This window comes from Homo sapiens, chromosome X (genome assembly GCF_000001405.40).
Source record: "Homo sapiens chromosome X, GRCh38.p14 Primary Assembly".
Classification (NCBI taxonomy): Eukaryota; Metazoa; Chordata; class Mammalia; order Primates; family Hominidae; genus Homo; species Homo sapiens.
This window is the reverse complement of record NC_000023.11, coordinates 16,731,369-16,748,024: the sequence shown is the minus strand read 5'-3', so window position 1 is coordinate 16,748,024 and position 16,656 is coordinate 16,731,369. Positions and strand designations below refer to the sequence as shown.

At 45.1% G+C, this 16,656-nt stretch overlaps 1 protein-coding gene across 2 annotated transcripts in view, besides 1 other annotated feature; it reads right to left on the bottom strand.

Annotated features, from left to right (window-relative positions):
- SYAP1 (synapse associated protein 1) overlaps positions 1-16,656 on the bottom strand; it is a 45,729-nt gene that overhangs the window by 17,316 nt on the left and 11,757 nt on the right. Inside the window, exons 2-5 of one of the 2 annotated variants that reach the window (NR_033181.2) lie at positions 12,680-12,760; positions 11,793-11,859; positions 6,236-6,309; positions 4,185-4,324 (exon numbers count right to left, since the gene is read on the bottom strand). Coding sequence is in view for 1 of the 2 variants with exons in the window: in NM_032796.4 (NP_116185.2) it covers positions 4,185-4,324; positions 6,236-6,309; positions 11,793-11,859; positions 12,680-12,798 (400 nt within the window). In the remaining variant the exon portion in view is untranslated. Of the gene's footprint in view, positions 1-4,184; positions 4,325-6,235; positions 6,310-11,792; positions 11,860-12,679; positions 12,799-16,656 lie in introns of both variants that reach the window. The other variant, NM_032796.4, reaches the window with a different exon arrangement.
- Positions 14,645-14,939: a silencer, noted in NCBI's record as "tiled region #4999; HepG2 Repressive non-DNase unmatched - State 7:EnhWF". NCBI's record gives its function as "represses a minimal TATA promoter and a strong SV40 promoter by Sharpr-MPRA in HepG2 cells {active_cell/tissue: HepG2}" and the evidence as "EXISTENCE:reporter gene assay evidence [ECO:0000049][PMID:27701403]".

The window sequence follows — 16,656 nt, the reverse complement described above, 5'->3', positions numbered from 1 at the left end:
TGCAACCTCCGCCTCCTGGGTTCAAGTGATTCTGCTGCCTCAGCTTCCCGAGTAGCTGGGATTACAGGCGCCCGCCACCACACCCAGCTAACTTTTGTATTTTTAGTAGACACGGGGTTTCACCAGGTTGGCCAGGCTGGTCTCGAACTCCTGACCTCAGGTGATCCGCCCGCCTCGGCCTCCGAAAGTGATGGGATTACAGGCGTGAGCCATTGCGCTCCACTTCAGCAAGCATTTCTAACAGATAAGGACTTATAAATAAAAACTATAATTTCTAAGTAATCCTCAACAAAATTAGTAGGAGGAAACTGGAGTCATATTGAAATATTTGATTGGCAGGTTGCCCTGTGACAAATTAGAAACACTAATTGCCAAATACCAATTCTCAGACAGTTTCAAAAAATCTAAAATTACTGTCAACAGTGAGAGGGGGCGGTCCACAATTGTAAAGAACCAAAACTGTGGACAGCTACATGCCTGCTATGAGCACCCCAGGCCACAGGCCTCAGGCTCCAGCCACTCAGGGCCTCTTGCTGGTCTTGAGAGCCACAGCAGGAGCCAAGCATATGGCTCAGGGTGATTCAAAAGGTCTTCAAGTTGATGCAGGCTGCAAGTGTAAAGGGCATCTGCACCCCGGAGCTTGGGTACCCTTCCCTCAGAGTCAGTTACTCAGAACAGGCACAGCCTCAAATTCTGAGGGAAGAGCTTGAAACACACACACACAAGCACATACACATACACATTATATATACAAACTCTTCAAAATTCAATTCTACCAGGAGCGTGGGTGGCTCTCGTCTATAACCTCAGCAACTTGAGAGGCTGAGGCAGGAAGACTGCTTCAGGCCAGGAGTTCAAAACCAGCCTGCGCAACACAGCAAGACCCTATCTCTAAAAAAGTTAAAAACAGTATTAGGCAGGCGTAGCAGCACAGGCCTCTGAGCTACTTGGGAGGCCGAGACAGGAAAATCACTTGAGTCCAGGAGGTCAAGGCTACAGTAAGCTACTGTGCCACTGCATTCCAGAGATCCTGTCTCTAAAAAATAATACTTTTTAAAATAAAAAAGTCAATTCCTATGATTTTGTGAGCATATGTAGTAAAAAAATAGATTAGATGGTACATTTAAAAAATATCCTTAACTAGGCTGGGTGCGGTGGCCTGTAATCTCAGCACTCTGGGAGGCCAAGGCGGACAGATCACCTGAGGTCAGGAGTTCAAGACCAGCCTGGCCAACATGGCGAAACCCTGTCTCTACTAAAAATACAAAAAATAGCCAGGCGTGGTGGCATGCGTCTGTAATCCCAGCTACTCGGGAGGCTGAGACAGGAGAATCGCTTGAACCTGGGAGGTGGGGAGGTGGTTACGATGAGCCGAGATCAAGCCATTGGACTCCACCCTGGGTGACAAGAGCGAAACTCCGTCTCCAAAACAAAACAAATCACCTTAACTAAAAATATCCTTAACCACAGCTATTTTAGACAAAGTCTAGCTGGGCGCAGTGGCTCACGCCTGTAATCCCAGCACTTTGGGAGGCTGAGGCAGGTGGATCACCTGAGGTCAGGAGTTCGAGACCAGCCTGGCCAACCTGGTGAAACCCCATCTCTACTAAAAATACAAAAATTAGCTGGGTGTGGTGGCGGGCGCTTGTAATCCCAGCTACTCGGGAAGCTGAGGCAGCAGAATCACTTGAACCCAGGAGGCGGAGGTTGCAGTGAGCCGAGATCACGCCATTGCACTCCAGCCTGGGCGACAGAGTGAGATTCCATCTCAAAAAAAAAAAAAGAAAGAAAAAAGACAAAGTCTAAAGATGAAATTTCTAATGAGATTTTTTTTTTTTTTTTTTTTTGCCATAAAACATACTTTTCTTATGGGAGGGTTGGGGAGGGCTCTAGAAATTTACCACTAATATGTTAATAATTATGGAGGGAAGAGTTTCACTACAAAGAAAAAAAGATTCCATATAACTGTTATTCTGAGTCTGGAAGAACACTTCCAGAGTGGTGTTTTCACAGACAGAAAACCTGTGCTGCTGTGTGAACCAAAAGGCTAGCAAATATTTGTTAAAACCGCTATGTGGCTGGGTAAGCATAGCAAAACAAACATGTGTTCATCTGTGCTCCCTCTGAAGATGCCAGGAAAGTAACAGAAAAGGAATTACATACATAAAAACACAAGGACAAAGAGAATGAGAGAGGAGAGGACAGTGGACGCTGTCAAGGGCAGTCAAGTGGAAAGCTGTCAAGTGGAAATGTCAAGGGCAGACAGTAATCTTTTTTTTTTTTTTTTGGAGACAGAGTCTCACTCTGTCGCCCAGGTTGGAGTGCAAATGGTACGATCTTGGTGCACTGCAACCTCTGTCTGCCGGGTTCAAGCAATTCTCCTGCCTCAGCCTCCCGAGTAGCTGAGATTACAGGCATGTGCCACCACACCAGGCTCTAATTTTTTGTATTTTTTTTTTTTAAGTAGAAACAGGGTTTCACTATTTGCCCAGGCTGGTCTCAGACAATCTGCCTGCCTTGGCCTCCCAAAGTCCTGGAATTACAGGCATGAGCAACTGCACCCGGCCTAGGCAAACAGTAGTCTACTTCGTTGACCAGAGAAAACTGTACTGAGTTGTCTGCAGCAAGGGTGGAAGCCCAGAGAGCCCCTGGGCCTCCCATCTTGCCCTGCCCTGCTCTGCCCATGTGGGGAGGGGAGCCAAGCTGCTCTACACTCAGGGACCGGTGGCACAGTTGAGACTGGGGGTGTGACATCAAGGTCAAGCCACAGGGGTCAAGGGATAGTCTGCCTATCAACTGGCTCTTCCCATTGTCCTGCCTGCAGCCAGGCAGGAGGCCGAGGAGTCCTCTGGGGATAAGCTACCTTCCCACAGCTACTGAGCCTCTCCAGGCCAAAAGGCTTGTCCCCACATTCAGCGGCCATGTACCCTTTCAGTATGGCACTGCTAATGCGAAGGGACAGGTAAGGAGAGTCTGCCACATAAACGACAGATCCCCAAACAAACAAAAGAGTCCCGAGGGAGGAAACAGCATAGAAAAAGGAGTCTGTCTTTTATTTGAGACAGGGTCTCACTCTGTTGCCCAGGCTGGAATGCCAGTGGCGTGATCATGGCTCACTGCAGCGTCGACCTCCCAGGCTCAGGTGTTCCTCCCGCCTCAGCTTCCTGAGTAGCTAGGACTAAAGGTGCGCACCACTACGCCCGGCTAATTCTTGATTTCTTTGTAAAGATGGTGGTCTTGCTATGTTGCCCAGGCTGGTCTCGAACTCGGCCTCACATGATCCTCCCGCCTCAGCTTCCTGAGTAGCTGGGACTAAAGGTGCACACCACCACGCCCGGCTAATTCTTGGTTTCTTTGTAAAGATGGTGGTCTTGCTATGTTGCCCAGGCTGGTCTCGAACTCAACCTCACGTGATCCTCCCACCTCAGCCTCCCAAAGTGTTGAGATTACAGGCATTGGCCACCGCACCCAGCTGAAAAAGGAGTCTTTTGAGAGAACTGTAACTAACGTACTCAGGGAACAGTAAGATACTGCACCCATATGACAAGGTTAAGAGAAAGGGAACAATGACAGAATAAGAAGGAACGCTGACTCCAAACATGCGACAGCTTCAATACAAGGGACTGGACTGGAGAAGGCACGGAAGAGCTTGAGACAGAACACCCAAGGGAAGCAGCAGCGGGGAAGGTGGCCCCTGTTGGCCGCACCACCAAGGCAGGCTTCCAGAATGCATCATGCATGCACTGGAGCCTACAGGACAAGCTGGGATTTGTGGAGCCCAGAAGAGCTGTTGGAGGAAAAGCCTTAGCAAAGAGAGCAGGAACACTGCCACTGGAGGGCAGAGCCTGAATGGAAAATGCAGTCAGCTTGGAAAAAAGATCCCGATGAGCCTCAGAGACCAGAATGTGATTCAGGGTGATGCAGCATGTTTGTGGTTTCTGTAGGGAAATGTGTTCTACCTTGTAACTGGGATAGAAAAGCACATTTCACCTCTACCCTGTATTTCCTGCCAAGTCAGACCTTGGTTTTGATTCCAGAGTGCCCTGACCAGGGGAGCTGCCAAAGGGCTGCGGGGCCTGCTTTTATGAACAGATAGAGACCCTTTTGGCCCCTTCCATCATTATGTGCTGATACTGAGCACATAATGGAGGCCATGAGGAAACGCTGGAGAACACTCTGCTTACAGTTTAGGAACGAGGGCAAATCTCATCTTGCTTAGCAGCTCATCCTCCTGGAGCATGACCAGGGCCACGGGGTACATCTGATCAAAGTCGAAATTAAATTGCACGCCAGCCGGAGGGTCACGAAGGAAATTCCTCTTGTCCTTTGATAAAAAAAGAAAAAAACACAGGGTATTCCACAAAATGCGATTAATAGATAACAATTTTTTTTTTTTTTTGAGACGGGTTGTCACCCAGGCTAGAGTGCAGTGGTGCAATCTCGGCTCACTGCAACCTCCACCTCCTGGATTCAAGCAATTCTCCTGCCTCAGTCTCCCGAGTAGCTGGGATTATAGGCACCCGCCACTGCGCCTGGCTAATTTTTGTATTTTTAGTAGAGATGGGGTTTCACTATCTTGGCCAGGCTGGTCTCAAACTCCTGACCTCGTGATCCACCTGCCTCGGCTTCCCAAAGTGCTGGGATTACAGGGGTGAGCCAATGCGCCCACTCTTTTTTTTTAATTTTATTTTTGTTTTGAGATGGAGTCTTGCTCTGTCGCCCAGGCTATAATGCAGTGGTGCAATCTCAGCTCACTGCAACCTCTGCCCCCTGGGTTCAAGCAATTCTCCTGCCTCAGCCTCCCGAGTAGCTGGGATTACAGGTGTGTGCTAGCACGCCTGGCTAATTTTTGTATTTTTACTAGAGATGGGGTTTCGCCATGTTGGCCAGGCTGGTCTCGAACTCCTGACCTCAAGTGATCCACCCACCTTGGCCTCCCAAAGTGCTGGGATTACAGGTGTGAGCCACTGCACCTGGCCTACTACATAACAATTTATCATAGACTGGGGAAATATTATATTCTTTCTTTATTTTGAGACAGTCTTGCTATGTTGACCAGCAGGAGTGCAGTGAGACTCTCAAAAAAAAAAAAAAAAAAAAAAAATAGAAGCGGACAGGGTGTAGTCGCTCATGGCTATAATCCAGCACTTTGGGAAGTTGGGCAAGAGGATCGCTTGAGGCCAGGAGTTCGAGACCAGCCTGGGAAACATAGTGAGAACCCATCTCTAAAAACAATTTTAAAAATTAGCTGGGCATGGTGGCTTACGCCTATCGTCCCAGATACTTGGAAGGCTAAGGCCGGAGGATCACTTGAGCCCAGTTCAAGGCTGCAGTGAGCCATAATTATGCCACTGTACTCTATCCTGGATGACCAATTGAGACTGTGTCTCTTAAAACAAAAACAAAACAAAACAAAACAAATTAAATTAAAAATTTTGGCAGCGCATGGTGGCTCACACCTGTAATCCCAGCACTTTGGGAGGCCAAGGCAGATGGACTGCTTGAGGTCAGGAGCTCGAGACCAGCCTGGCCAACATGGTGAAACCCTGTCTCTACTGAAAACACAAAAATTAGGCTGAGTGTGGTAGCTCACGCCTATAATCCCAGCACTTTGGGAGGCTGAGGTGAGGGTGGATCACGAGATCAGGAGTTCGAGACCAGTCTGGCCAACATGGTGAAACCCCGTCTCTACTCAAAATACAAAAATTAGCAGGGCGTGGTGGCGGGCACCTGTAATACCAGCTACTTGGGAGGCTGAGGCAAGAGAATCGCTTGAACCTGGGAGGAGAAGGTTGCAGTGAGCCGAGATCGTGCCACTGCGCTCCAGGCTGGGTGACAGAGCGAGACTTTGTCTCAAAAAAAAAAAAAAAAAAAAAAAAAACCACACAAAAATTAGCTGGGCATGGTGGCGCATGCCTGTAGTCCCAGCTATTCAGGAGGCTGAGGCAGGAGAATCATTTGAACCCGGGTGGTGGAGGTTGCAGTGAGCCAAAATTGCACCACTACACTCCAGCCTGGGTGACAGAGCAAGACTCCATCTCAAAAAAAAAATAAAAAATAAATTTTATGTGTACATTTTGTTAATGTACACATCATGTGTTAATGTGTACATTCCTAACATCTCAAAATATTTTAAAAACTGTATAGAAAAATAAATTCTACTAAAGTCACATCAACAGAGATATATCATGACAGAAGAAAGTATGTTCTATCTGGGGTACCACAAGATACTTACAGCTGATAAGGCCAAAATTTGTTGTTGAATTGTTTCTTCATCGTTAGTGTCAACCCATGGGGGCACAGCTGCTTCTATACAGTTTTTAATGGCAAAGAAGAAAAGAGAAAAAAATAGGTCATGATGGTTACACTGCAGTCTATGGTTTCAAAGCATGAAAGTTTCTGCATGACCACTAAAAGTAGCAATTTACCAATAAGTTCCAAATATGAACATTAACCGTAATAACCAGACTTATTATTATGAGTTATATGCACATATGCATTTGGTAAAAAAAAAAAAAACTCTACTTGAGGCCAGGCATGGTGGCTCACACCTGTAATCCCAGCACTTTGGGAGGCCGAGGTGGGTGGATTGCTTGAGCCCAGGAGTTGCAGACCAGCTTGGGCCACATGACAAAACCCTCTCTCTACAAAAAAATACAAAAGTTAGCCAGACGTTGTGCGTGCCTGTAGTCCCAGCTACTTGGGAGGCTGAGGCGGGAGGATCACCTGAACCCAGGAGTCAAGGCTGTAGTGAGCTGTGATTCCGCCATTGCATTTCAGCCTGGGTGACAGAGTTGAGACCCTGTCTCAGAAAAAAAACAAAAAACAAAAAACTCTACTTAAATGATACAGTGGAGAAACTGGACAACTCCTTAATCAGGTGATCAAAATCAACAATGAGGGAGAGATGAACATCATGGCCTTCCAGATGTGGTATCTTGAGAAGGACATCATCACCTATGTAGTATGCTGGCTAAAAATGGACAATCTGAGTCTAGTTATGAGGAAATATCAGATAAAGCCTGAATGAGAAAGAATCTATTAAAAAAAAGGAAGAGAAGTATTCTTCAAAAATATTAATATCATAAAAGACAAAGAAAGGATGTTGGAATGTTCCTGATTAAAGAAGGCTGAGAGACATGACAAAGAATACAATACCTTATCCTCAACTGGATCCTATACGAGGGGGACAAATGTTATAAAGGACATTACTGGGTCAACTAACAAAATTAACTGATGAACAGTAAAGTATTGCATCAAGGTGAAATTTCCTAATGCCGTTAACTATACTATGATTATGAAAGAGAATATCCCTAATTCTTAGGAAATGTGTACTGAACATTTGTGTACACACAAGGAAAAAAAGGGCACACACACAGCAAGAGCTGGAGAGAGGGCGTGAATAAGGCAAACAGAATAAAGCTAGAGCAATTTAGGTACTGGTATATGGGTGTTCTCTGTACTATTTTTATTCTTGCGACTCTTCTGTAAATTAAAATTTTTTCCAAATAGAAAAATTTTTAGAAAGTTACTTAAAAAAATGAAAGAAAAATGGGTAAGTATATTTCTGGAGGAAAAAAAAAGAAAGTTACTGTACTTGATTCATGATAAAAGGTGATGTTGTAAGACAGGTGATTAGGAATAAGAAGAGGGTTTTCAGGAGCTAAAAAAAAAAAAAAAAAGAAATGCACAAGTTGGAGGCAGTAAACAATAGGGCTGGAATCAAATCCTCAATAAGCCGTTAGAAGCTAAATGCTGGGAATGCCAAGATCTAGCCCATGTTTTTCTGGGGCTCACAAGATAGAGGTGATTAGAATCCAGCACTGTAAGTGCCGTGCCAGGTGACAAATGACAACCCTCTGGAGAGGTGAGAACTACAAGATTTTCTGGTGACCTAGGAGCCCAATCTTGGACTAGGAAGAGGAGGTCAGTGGTGGATGGGGGTGGGGGTGTTTAGAGTGGAAACAAAAACAATGGCAAGCTCGTCTGAAGATCTCTCCCATGTAAGCAGCACGGAGCAGCTAGAGAGCAGAGTGAAGGCTGCAGATCTGCGTGATCGGCACAGAAGACACACAGGCAGGGGGCCCTTAATAGCCTCATTCAGCAACCCACAGCGGCAAGATTAGGATGGGAAGCAGAAGTCACAAAAATGTGGACTAATTCATAAGCCACTGAATCACTCCTGCTGCCTTAACACTAGATTCTAGCCCTACTGGTCTTGCAACACAAAGTGAAAAGGCAAATCTTGCAAAACACACGGTGCTTCACAAAGTCAAAGTAAAGTGACATGGGATAGCTGCCTGCATCACCACAAAGCAAACAATAAGGAGGACCTGGCAGTTAGGGCACCTATGCCTGAAGGAAACACAAGGCTGGTGACCCAGCAAGTGCTTTAAAAGAGAATGATTTGGTCCCAGCTACTCGGGAGGCCGAAACAGGAGAATTGCTTGAACCCGGGGGGCAGAGGTTGCAGTGAGCTGAGAAGGTGCCACTGCACTCCAGCCTGGGCAACAGACAGACTCCGTTTCAAAAAAAAAAAAAAAAAAAAGAGAGAGAGAGTGATTTGAAAACCAAAGGGGCAATTAAGGCAGGCCCTTGGAGAGCAAATGCTTTGCTGTCCTGGAATATTTTGGCAGAAATAGTCCCTTTACTATTATGCTCTGAGTCAGAGGGAAGACATATCATATCACGAGCCCACTGAGAGAAAAGTTACATGCATGTGTGGATGGACACAGGGATGGATAGGCAGATGAGCACACGCTTCATTCTTTGGCTTATCCCAAGTCAGCAAATGGTGGCAATTATAATCCAAATTCTATTAATGATAAGATAATCTAAACATATTTGCACATTTTAAAGAAAAAATTAGGGTAAAGCCCCCAAAACATTTTTTCTCACACACTTTAGTCTCCATTCCAAGTCTCTTCACCTTGGGTAGTCTCTCCTGGTGCTATTTATGCTCAGATAATGAGGCCCTCCTAAGATACTTGTATGAGGAGATGCTCCCCACCCCGAGTTCCTGAAATTATTCTTTTTAGAGTGACCAAAACCTCTTGGTTCTCCAACCCCAAGGACACTTCTTAGTTCTCTTCTCTCTAGGCCAGTTTCCTTATCTGGAAAACGGAGGTAACAGTAAGTACTTTATAGAGTTACTGTGATTATGAAGTGAAGAAATGCATGGAACACATTTCCAAGGTGCCCTTCTCATGGTCATTGTAAGTGGACCTCTTGGCCCTGCCTCCCATGGCTGACTGCTCTCCTGGAAACTCTCCCCTCTCTGGGCTTCTGCTACTTCTCTCTCCTAGTTGTCCACTCTCTTGGGTAAACGGGCACTGTTTTTATTTTCTTTTTTTGAGATGGAGTCTTGCTCTGTTGCCCAGGCTGGAGTGCAGTGGTATGATCTTGGCTCGCTGTAACCTCTGCCTCCCAGGTTCAAGTGATTCTCCTGCCTCAGCCTCCCGAGGAGCTGGGATTACAGGCGCATGCCACTAGGCCCAGCTAATTTTTGTATTTGGTTTTGAAGGCAAATTTCAGTTTCATCACTTACCAGCTGAGTGACCTTCCGCAAATTACTTACCCTTGCTGACTGCATCTTTATTATTTATTTATTGAGACAGAGTCTCGCTCTGTCACCCAGGCTGGAGTGTAGCGGCACAATCGCGGTTCACTGCAACCTCCACCTCCCAGGTTCAAGCAATTCTTGCGCCTCAGCCACCCAGACAGCTGGGATTACAGGTGTGTGCCACCAAGCCTGGCTAATTTTTGCATTTTTAGTAGAGATGGGGTTTCGCCATGTTGGCCAGGCTGGTCTCAAACTCCTGGCCTCAAGTGATCTGCCTACCTCAGCCTCCCAAAGTGCTCGGATTACAGGCATGAAGCTACCACGCCTGGCCCTGACTGCGTCTTGAAATGAGATGTTATATATAAAATGCCTGCTGCTCAGCAGGCACTCAGTGATGTCAATTCCTTCCCCTCTTCCCCTCCCTAAACACTGTGGAGCTTCTGCTCATCTCCCTTCATGCTTGACACACTTTCCATAGAGGAGCTCATCTACTCTCATGGTTTTTATGTGACTTGATAATAATCTATATCACTAGATTGAATTCTGCTTCATGCTTCAAACAGGAATAAACTGCTGCAGGAGCCTGCTTATTTAATTCAGAGCCACACTGAGCAAACGAACTTTCTGCAATGACAAAAATGTTCTATATCTGCATTGTCCAGTGCGGAAGCCATTAGCCATATGTAGTTATCGAGGACCTGAAACGTGGCTGATGCAAAAAAAGAAGGAAATTTTCCCCAGATAAAGCACTTGTGTTCTCTTTCCTGTCTTTCTACATGTTCCTATCTCCGGGATGTCTAACTCACTTCAAAACTGAAGTTGCCTCCAAACCTTCCACCCCCACGCCCTCACAGTTCGTATCTCAGAGGCATCAGCTCCTACAGCAAGTCCCCAAGCCAGGATCACTTTTGCTGCTTCCAAATAATCACTAAGTGATGCTAACTTGTATACCTCACTTGTCTAAAAGAGTTGCTCATGCTTTTGAGTTTACCTAGGTGCAAGAATGCCTGATGGAAATTCACCATGGGATTAACTGTGGCACAACTCGAACTGAATTGTTTTCTACTACTTTTTTTTTGAGACAGGGTCTCACTCTGTAGTCCAGGCTGGAGTACACTGGCATGATTATAGCTCACTACAGCCTCAAACTCCCAAGCTCAAGTGATCCTCCTGTCTCAACCTCCCAAGTAGCTGGGACTACAGGTGTGCACCACCACACCCATCTGGCTAATTTCTTTTTATTTTTTTGTAGAGATAGGGTCTCACTATGTTGCCCAGGCTGGTCTCGAAGTTCAGGCTCAAGTGATCCTCGCGCCTTGGCCTGCCAAAGTGTTGGGATTACAGTTATACTACTTTTGCCAAATCTAAAGACACGAGGCTGGTTTTGTGTTTGGGTGCTACAAAATGGTAAGAGTAGGCATGCTGAGGCCTTATAACTTCAGAGGCATGTGTCAGCAGTAATGTATTGAGTATGTTCTCCAAACACCCGAGACTCTTTACGGCCCTCTGTCACTGCAGGTGCGGTCACTCGCCTCCCTCGGAAGCTCTTCCATTTTTTCTCCTGAAGACAGCAGGAACGGAGCCACCACTTGCTAAATGCCGGTCATGTGCATACTGTGCTCTGTGCTGGGCATGTGGTAGAAAGTCAGAACTGAGGCCAGGTGCAGTGGCTCATGCCTATAATCCCAGCACTTTGGGAGGCTAAGGCGGGCGGATCACGAGGTCAGGAGTTCGAGACCAGCCTGCCAACATGGTAAAACCCCGTTTCTACTAAAAATACACACACACAAAAATAGCTGGGTGTGGTGGCTCGTGCCTGTAATCCCAGCTACTCGGGAGGCTGAGGCAGGAGAATTGCTTGAATCTGGGAGGCAGAGGTTGCAGTGAGCTGAGATCACGCCATTGCACTCCAGCCTGGGTGACAGAGCAAGACTCCATCTCGGTGGGGGAAAAGAAAAGAGAAAGTCAGAACTGAAAGCTTACTTGCCCCTTTCACAGCCAGCTCCCCAGTGGGGCCAGCACTGGCAGCCCTCACCCAGAAACAATCTAGTCCCTTCCTTTAAATCATGGAAGTTTATGGGTTTGTCTCCCTCACTAGTCTTTGTGCTACCCAAAGGATGGGGCCATTGCATATGCATTTTTGTGTTCTCAGACCCTCAGTGTGGTATCTAGCACATAACAGGTGCTCAATAAAACCTGGCAGGTTAATTAAGACAAACCTATACCATACCTGACTTCTTTGTATGTTGCTCTTCAACAAATTTTTTCTGTTCCTTCTGAAAATCTCCTATAATTGTCTGTTAAAAAAAATACATAGTCAAATTAAATAGCAATGTATCTAAGGTTTAATTGATGACTTCCTTAGTTCAAATATCTACCAACATAAATGAAATGCCATAGGCCCACTGCAAAAAACAAACTCACTCCTTAGAGTCTTAAAAGGGTTGTTCCTAATGGGCTAGGACCTTAGTCGCATGATGCAAAGGCATAAATATATCCTCAAACAGTTATAAAGTTAAACTCACAACATGAAAAGTTGGCCAGGCGTGGTGGCTCATGCCTGTAATCCCAGCACTTTGGGAGGGCAAGGCGGGTGGATCACTTGAGGCCAGGAGTTCGAGACCAGCTTGGCCAACATGGTGAAACCCCGTCTATACTAAAAATACAAAAATTAGCTGGGTGTGGTAGCGCATGCCTGTAATCCCAGCTACTTGGGAGGTTGAGGCAGGAGAGTTGCATAAACCCAGGAGGCAGAGGTTGCAGTAAGCTGAGATCACACCACCACACTCCAGCCTGGGTGACAGAATGAGACTCCATCTCAAAACAAACAAACAAACAAACAAACAACCAACATGAAAAGTTTAGTATAACCCCCAAGTATCAATGTATTGATTGTAATATATTAAAATAAAAACAGCTATTTAAATCAAGTACTGTAATTTAATGATACTTACTTGTTATTCAAAGAGAGGAAAAAACCAAAAATCTCAACAATTAACATTTTTATCAGAATATGATATTCTACTTAGGTTAAAAAATGTTCATAAGAAGAAGAAACCATCAAGAGGAAACAATGAATTTCATACATTTCTACTTCCAAAAGATAATTGAATATACCTTGTCAATGATGCCATCTATTTTTCCTTCTTCTACGGATTTCTTTATTGTTTGTGCTGTTTCAGCAACTGATTCAGTTATCTTTTTTGTGGCAGCAGATGCAAAGTTAAATAAATAGTCTGTAAAGAATAAAAAGAATCTGTGGTTATTATGTTTGAGATTTTTCCCTTAAAGAGATCTTATGAGAATCTAAAGCATTAGGGCATGTTCCTTGTTCATAAGGACCTGAAACAAGTAATGAGAAGCACTGACAGTGATGAAAAGCACCACTTTCTTGGTGGACTGGCCAATCATACTGGGCCTTTCATTCATCTCTTTTTTTGTTTTTTTTTTTTTTTTTTTTTTTTTTGAGACAGTCTCGCCCTGTCACCCAGGCTGGAGTGCAGTGGCGTGATCTCAGCTCACTGCAAGCTCTGCCTCCTATGATCAAGCGATTCTTCTGCCTCAGCCTCTCGAGTACCTGGGACTACAGACGCCTGCCACCATGCCCGGCTAATTTTTTTGGTATTTTTAGTAGAGACAGAGTTTCACCATGTTGGTCAGATTGGTCTCGAACTTCTGGCCTCGAATGATCTGCCTGCCTCAGCCTCCCAAAGTGCTGGGATTACAGGCGTGAGCCACCGGGCCTGGCCTCATTCATCTCTTTCAAAGACCCTTAGTATACTCTTCCCAGTAGCTGCTTCAAAATTTTCTTGCTCAAGTCTCTGGTTCTAATTTATCTCAGTAAATAATCTACCCTCCTACTTTGCCAGGAAGAACAAGGCTCCTTTATACTTTTCTTCCTTTCTAGATCTCATGTATGCCATCTTTATTTTCTCCTCCTTCCCTCCTGTTCAAAGAAAAAATGCCCCTCCTTTCTCAAATTAACATGTCCCATGATAAATCTGGGGGAATTTTAAATAAGAAATAGAAATCTTGGCAAGCCCTAGTAGAAACAGAAATCTTTTTTTTTTTTTTTTTGAGATGAAGTCTCACTCTGTCACCCAGGCTGGAGTGCAGTGGCGTGATCTCAGATCTCAGTTCACTGCAACCTCCACCTCCCAGGTTTAAGTGATTCTCATGCCTCAGCCCTGCAAGTAGCTGGGATTACAGGCGCCCGCCACCACACCCGGCTAATTTTTATATTTTTAGTAGAGATGGGATTTCACCATGTTGGCCAGGCTGGTCTCAAACTCCTGACCTCAGGTGATCCACCCACTTCGGCCTCCCAAAGTGCTGGGATTACAGGCGTGAGCCACCAAGCCTGGACTAGAAATCATTCTTAATAATAATGAGCAAATAAGTAGAACAAGATTAAAAGTGGAACCCATAAAACTTCCAGTTTTTACAAAACAAAACCACAGAATTAGCTTTCTGGAAGATGTGAAAAGACATGTGTCAAGGTTCTATTGCACTATAAGGGCTCATTTGTTGTAATCCCAGCACTTTGGGAGGCCGAGGCGGGCAGATCAGGAGTTCGAGACCAGTCTGACCAACATGGTGAAACCCCGTCTCTACTAAAAATACAAAAAACTTAGCTGGGCATGGTGGCGTGCGCCTGTAATCCCAGCTACTCAGGAGGCTGAGGCAGCAGAATTGCTTGAACCCGGGAGGCAGAGACTGCAGTGAGCCGAGATTGCGCCACTACACTCTAGCCTGGGCAACAGAGCGAGACTCCGTCTAAAAAAAAAAAAAAAGGGCTAATTTGTAGACAAATATCATTTCAAAGTCCACATCCTACAGAATCCAGGCTGCTGAAAGAGACTTGAGGCAGGTCTTGAAGCTGGACCTGCTGGGGGATGCTCCCAGGCAATTGACATCCTCCTCTCATGAGAAATAGCTGGCACATTAGGGCGGTCTTGCCTCTCTTACTTACACCTGTTGAAGGGGCAGGCAGGTGGAGAAGGTCCCATAAGAATGGCAAAGAGAGCTCTGCACAACAGATTCCATCCTCATTCTGTGGGTGGTATTACTTCCAGGAAACCAGCAGACTGTATAGGTGTCTGGGAGCCAGTAATATTATCACTCCATCTGAATGATCCTTTCACCAGCTTCCCATTTAAAAATCTACTTCCTCCCATTGTGTCTGGTAGTGTTTATCTGTCAACCCCAACAAAACACCCCTAGGACATACCACAGGAAGCTACTTGCTACTTATCTCTGGTCTAGTTCTCATCTTTCTCCTTCTTCCCAGTCTACAGTCATATGATCACATGGAAATTCTTCACTACCTCCAAGGAGGCCTCCTTGGTTTGAAACATTTTTGTCTGCTCTCTCTTTATCTGGCTAACTCTCCATATGCTGTGGGTCTCCACTTAAATATCCCTTCTCCTTAGGAAATATTCCCTTGACTACGATGGATGTCCTGAGATGTGTTCCCTCCGCACATCCTGTGTTTTGAAGACTGTTGCCTGATCAACAATCTTCAAAACACTCTACCGATTACTTGGTGAATGTCTTCTCAGCCAGACTGAAAGCCCATGCTGAGCCCCATGAGTGCAGGGACCTGGGCTGTCTGATACCCCACTGTATCCCCAGCGGATGACCAGTGACCAGTACGTACTTGTTGAATGGATGAATGGGGAGTGACAGAACAAATGCTAAGATTGAGTGAAATCACTCATTTCTCTTTAGTTATGACTACTCTACTTGTACAGAGTGGTATGATAAAATGGGTAGACAGCCACACTAGTTTATAAAACTGTTGCAGGCCAGGTCTCACTAATATAGGCCTTCATCACAACTGTTTCAGTACTGACTGAGTGGTTAAGTTAAATATTAAAAGCCAGTGACCGGGCTGGGCGCGGTGGCTCACGCCTGTAATCCCAGCACTTTGGGAGGCCGAGGCGGGCAGATCACGAGGTCAGGAGATCGAGACCATCCTGGCTAACATGGTGAAACCCCGTCTCTACTAAAAATACAAAACATTAGCTGGGCGCCTGGGTGACAGAGCGAGACTCCGTCTCAAAAAAAAAAAAAAAAAAAGCCAGTGACCTTATGCAAAGGCTGGAATGTAACAAAAGCTCAAGAGTTTTTTGCCTAGGCCTTTCCTGAACCTTAAAGCATGACCAAACTATTTCACTACTGAAAATATACGAAAGAGTTCTAATTAGTTGGCTCACAGAAAAATAGAAGTGCTTAAATACTTTAACAGAAAAAAAGAAAGACTAGTCAAATGCTTTTTCAAGTTTATGTGACTTAAGTAAAATCTTTAATAAATAAGCTAGCTTTAAAAATTACTGGTAAAGTAATATTAGAAATGTCTTCGGAGTTGCCAGCATATATTTTTGTTTACATTTATTGATCAAGCAATTTCATACTTATCTCTGCCAAATACTATAAGGTATCAAAATTTGGCATAGAGGCTACAAAACGATAACTCAGCCCAAAACAGAGTGAACTTTGCTGTGTAATTTTTTTTTTTTTGAGACAGAGTTTTGCTCTTGTTGCCCAGGCTGGAGTGCAATGGCACAATCTTGGCTCACTGCAACCTCCGCCTCCTGAGTTCAAGTGATTTTCCTGCCTCAGCCTCTGGAGTGGCTGGGATTACAGGTGTCTGCCACCATGCCCAGCTAATTTTTATATTTTTAGTGGAGACATGGTTTCACCATGTTGGCCAGGCTAGTCTAGAACTCCTGACCTCAGATGTTCCGCCCACCTCAGCCTCCCAAAGTGCTGGGATTACAGGTGTGAGCCACTGTGCCCGGCTGCTTGTGTAATTTTTAATAAATAAAACACTGATATTGGTTTAATGAAGATAGCTACATCTTGAATTATTTAGTAAAATACCCTAACCTCTGATCTTGTGGCCTTAGGCAGTCTAGTCCACAGACATAAAGGAAGTTTGTTCTGGGAAAGGACGGTTATCATCTTTGTTTCAAAGCTAAACTATAAACTAAGTTAATGAACAAGAATAGCTTGGAGGTTAGAAGCAAGATGGAGTCAGTTACGGCAGATCACTTTCACTGTCTCAGCTATAATTTTGCAATGGTGGTCTC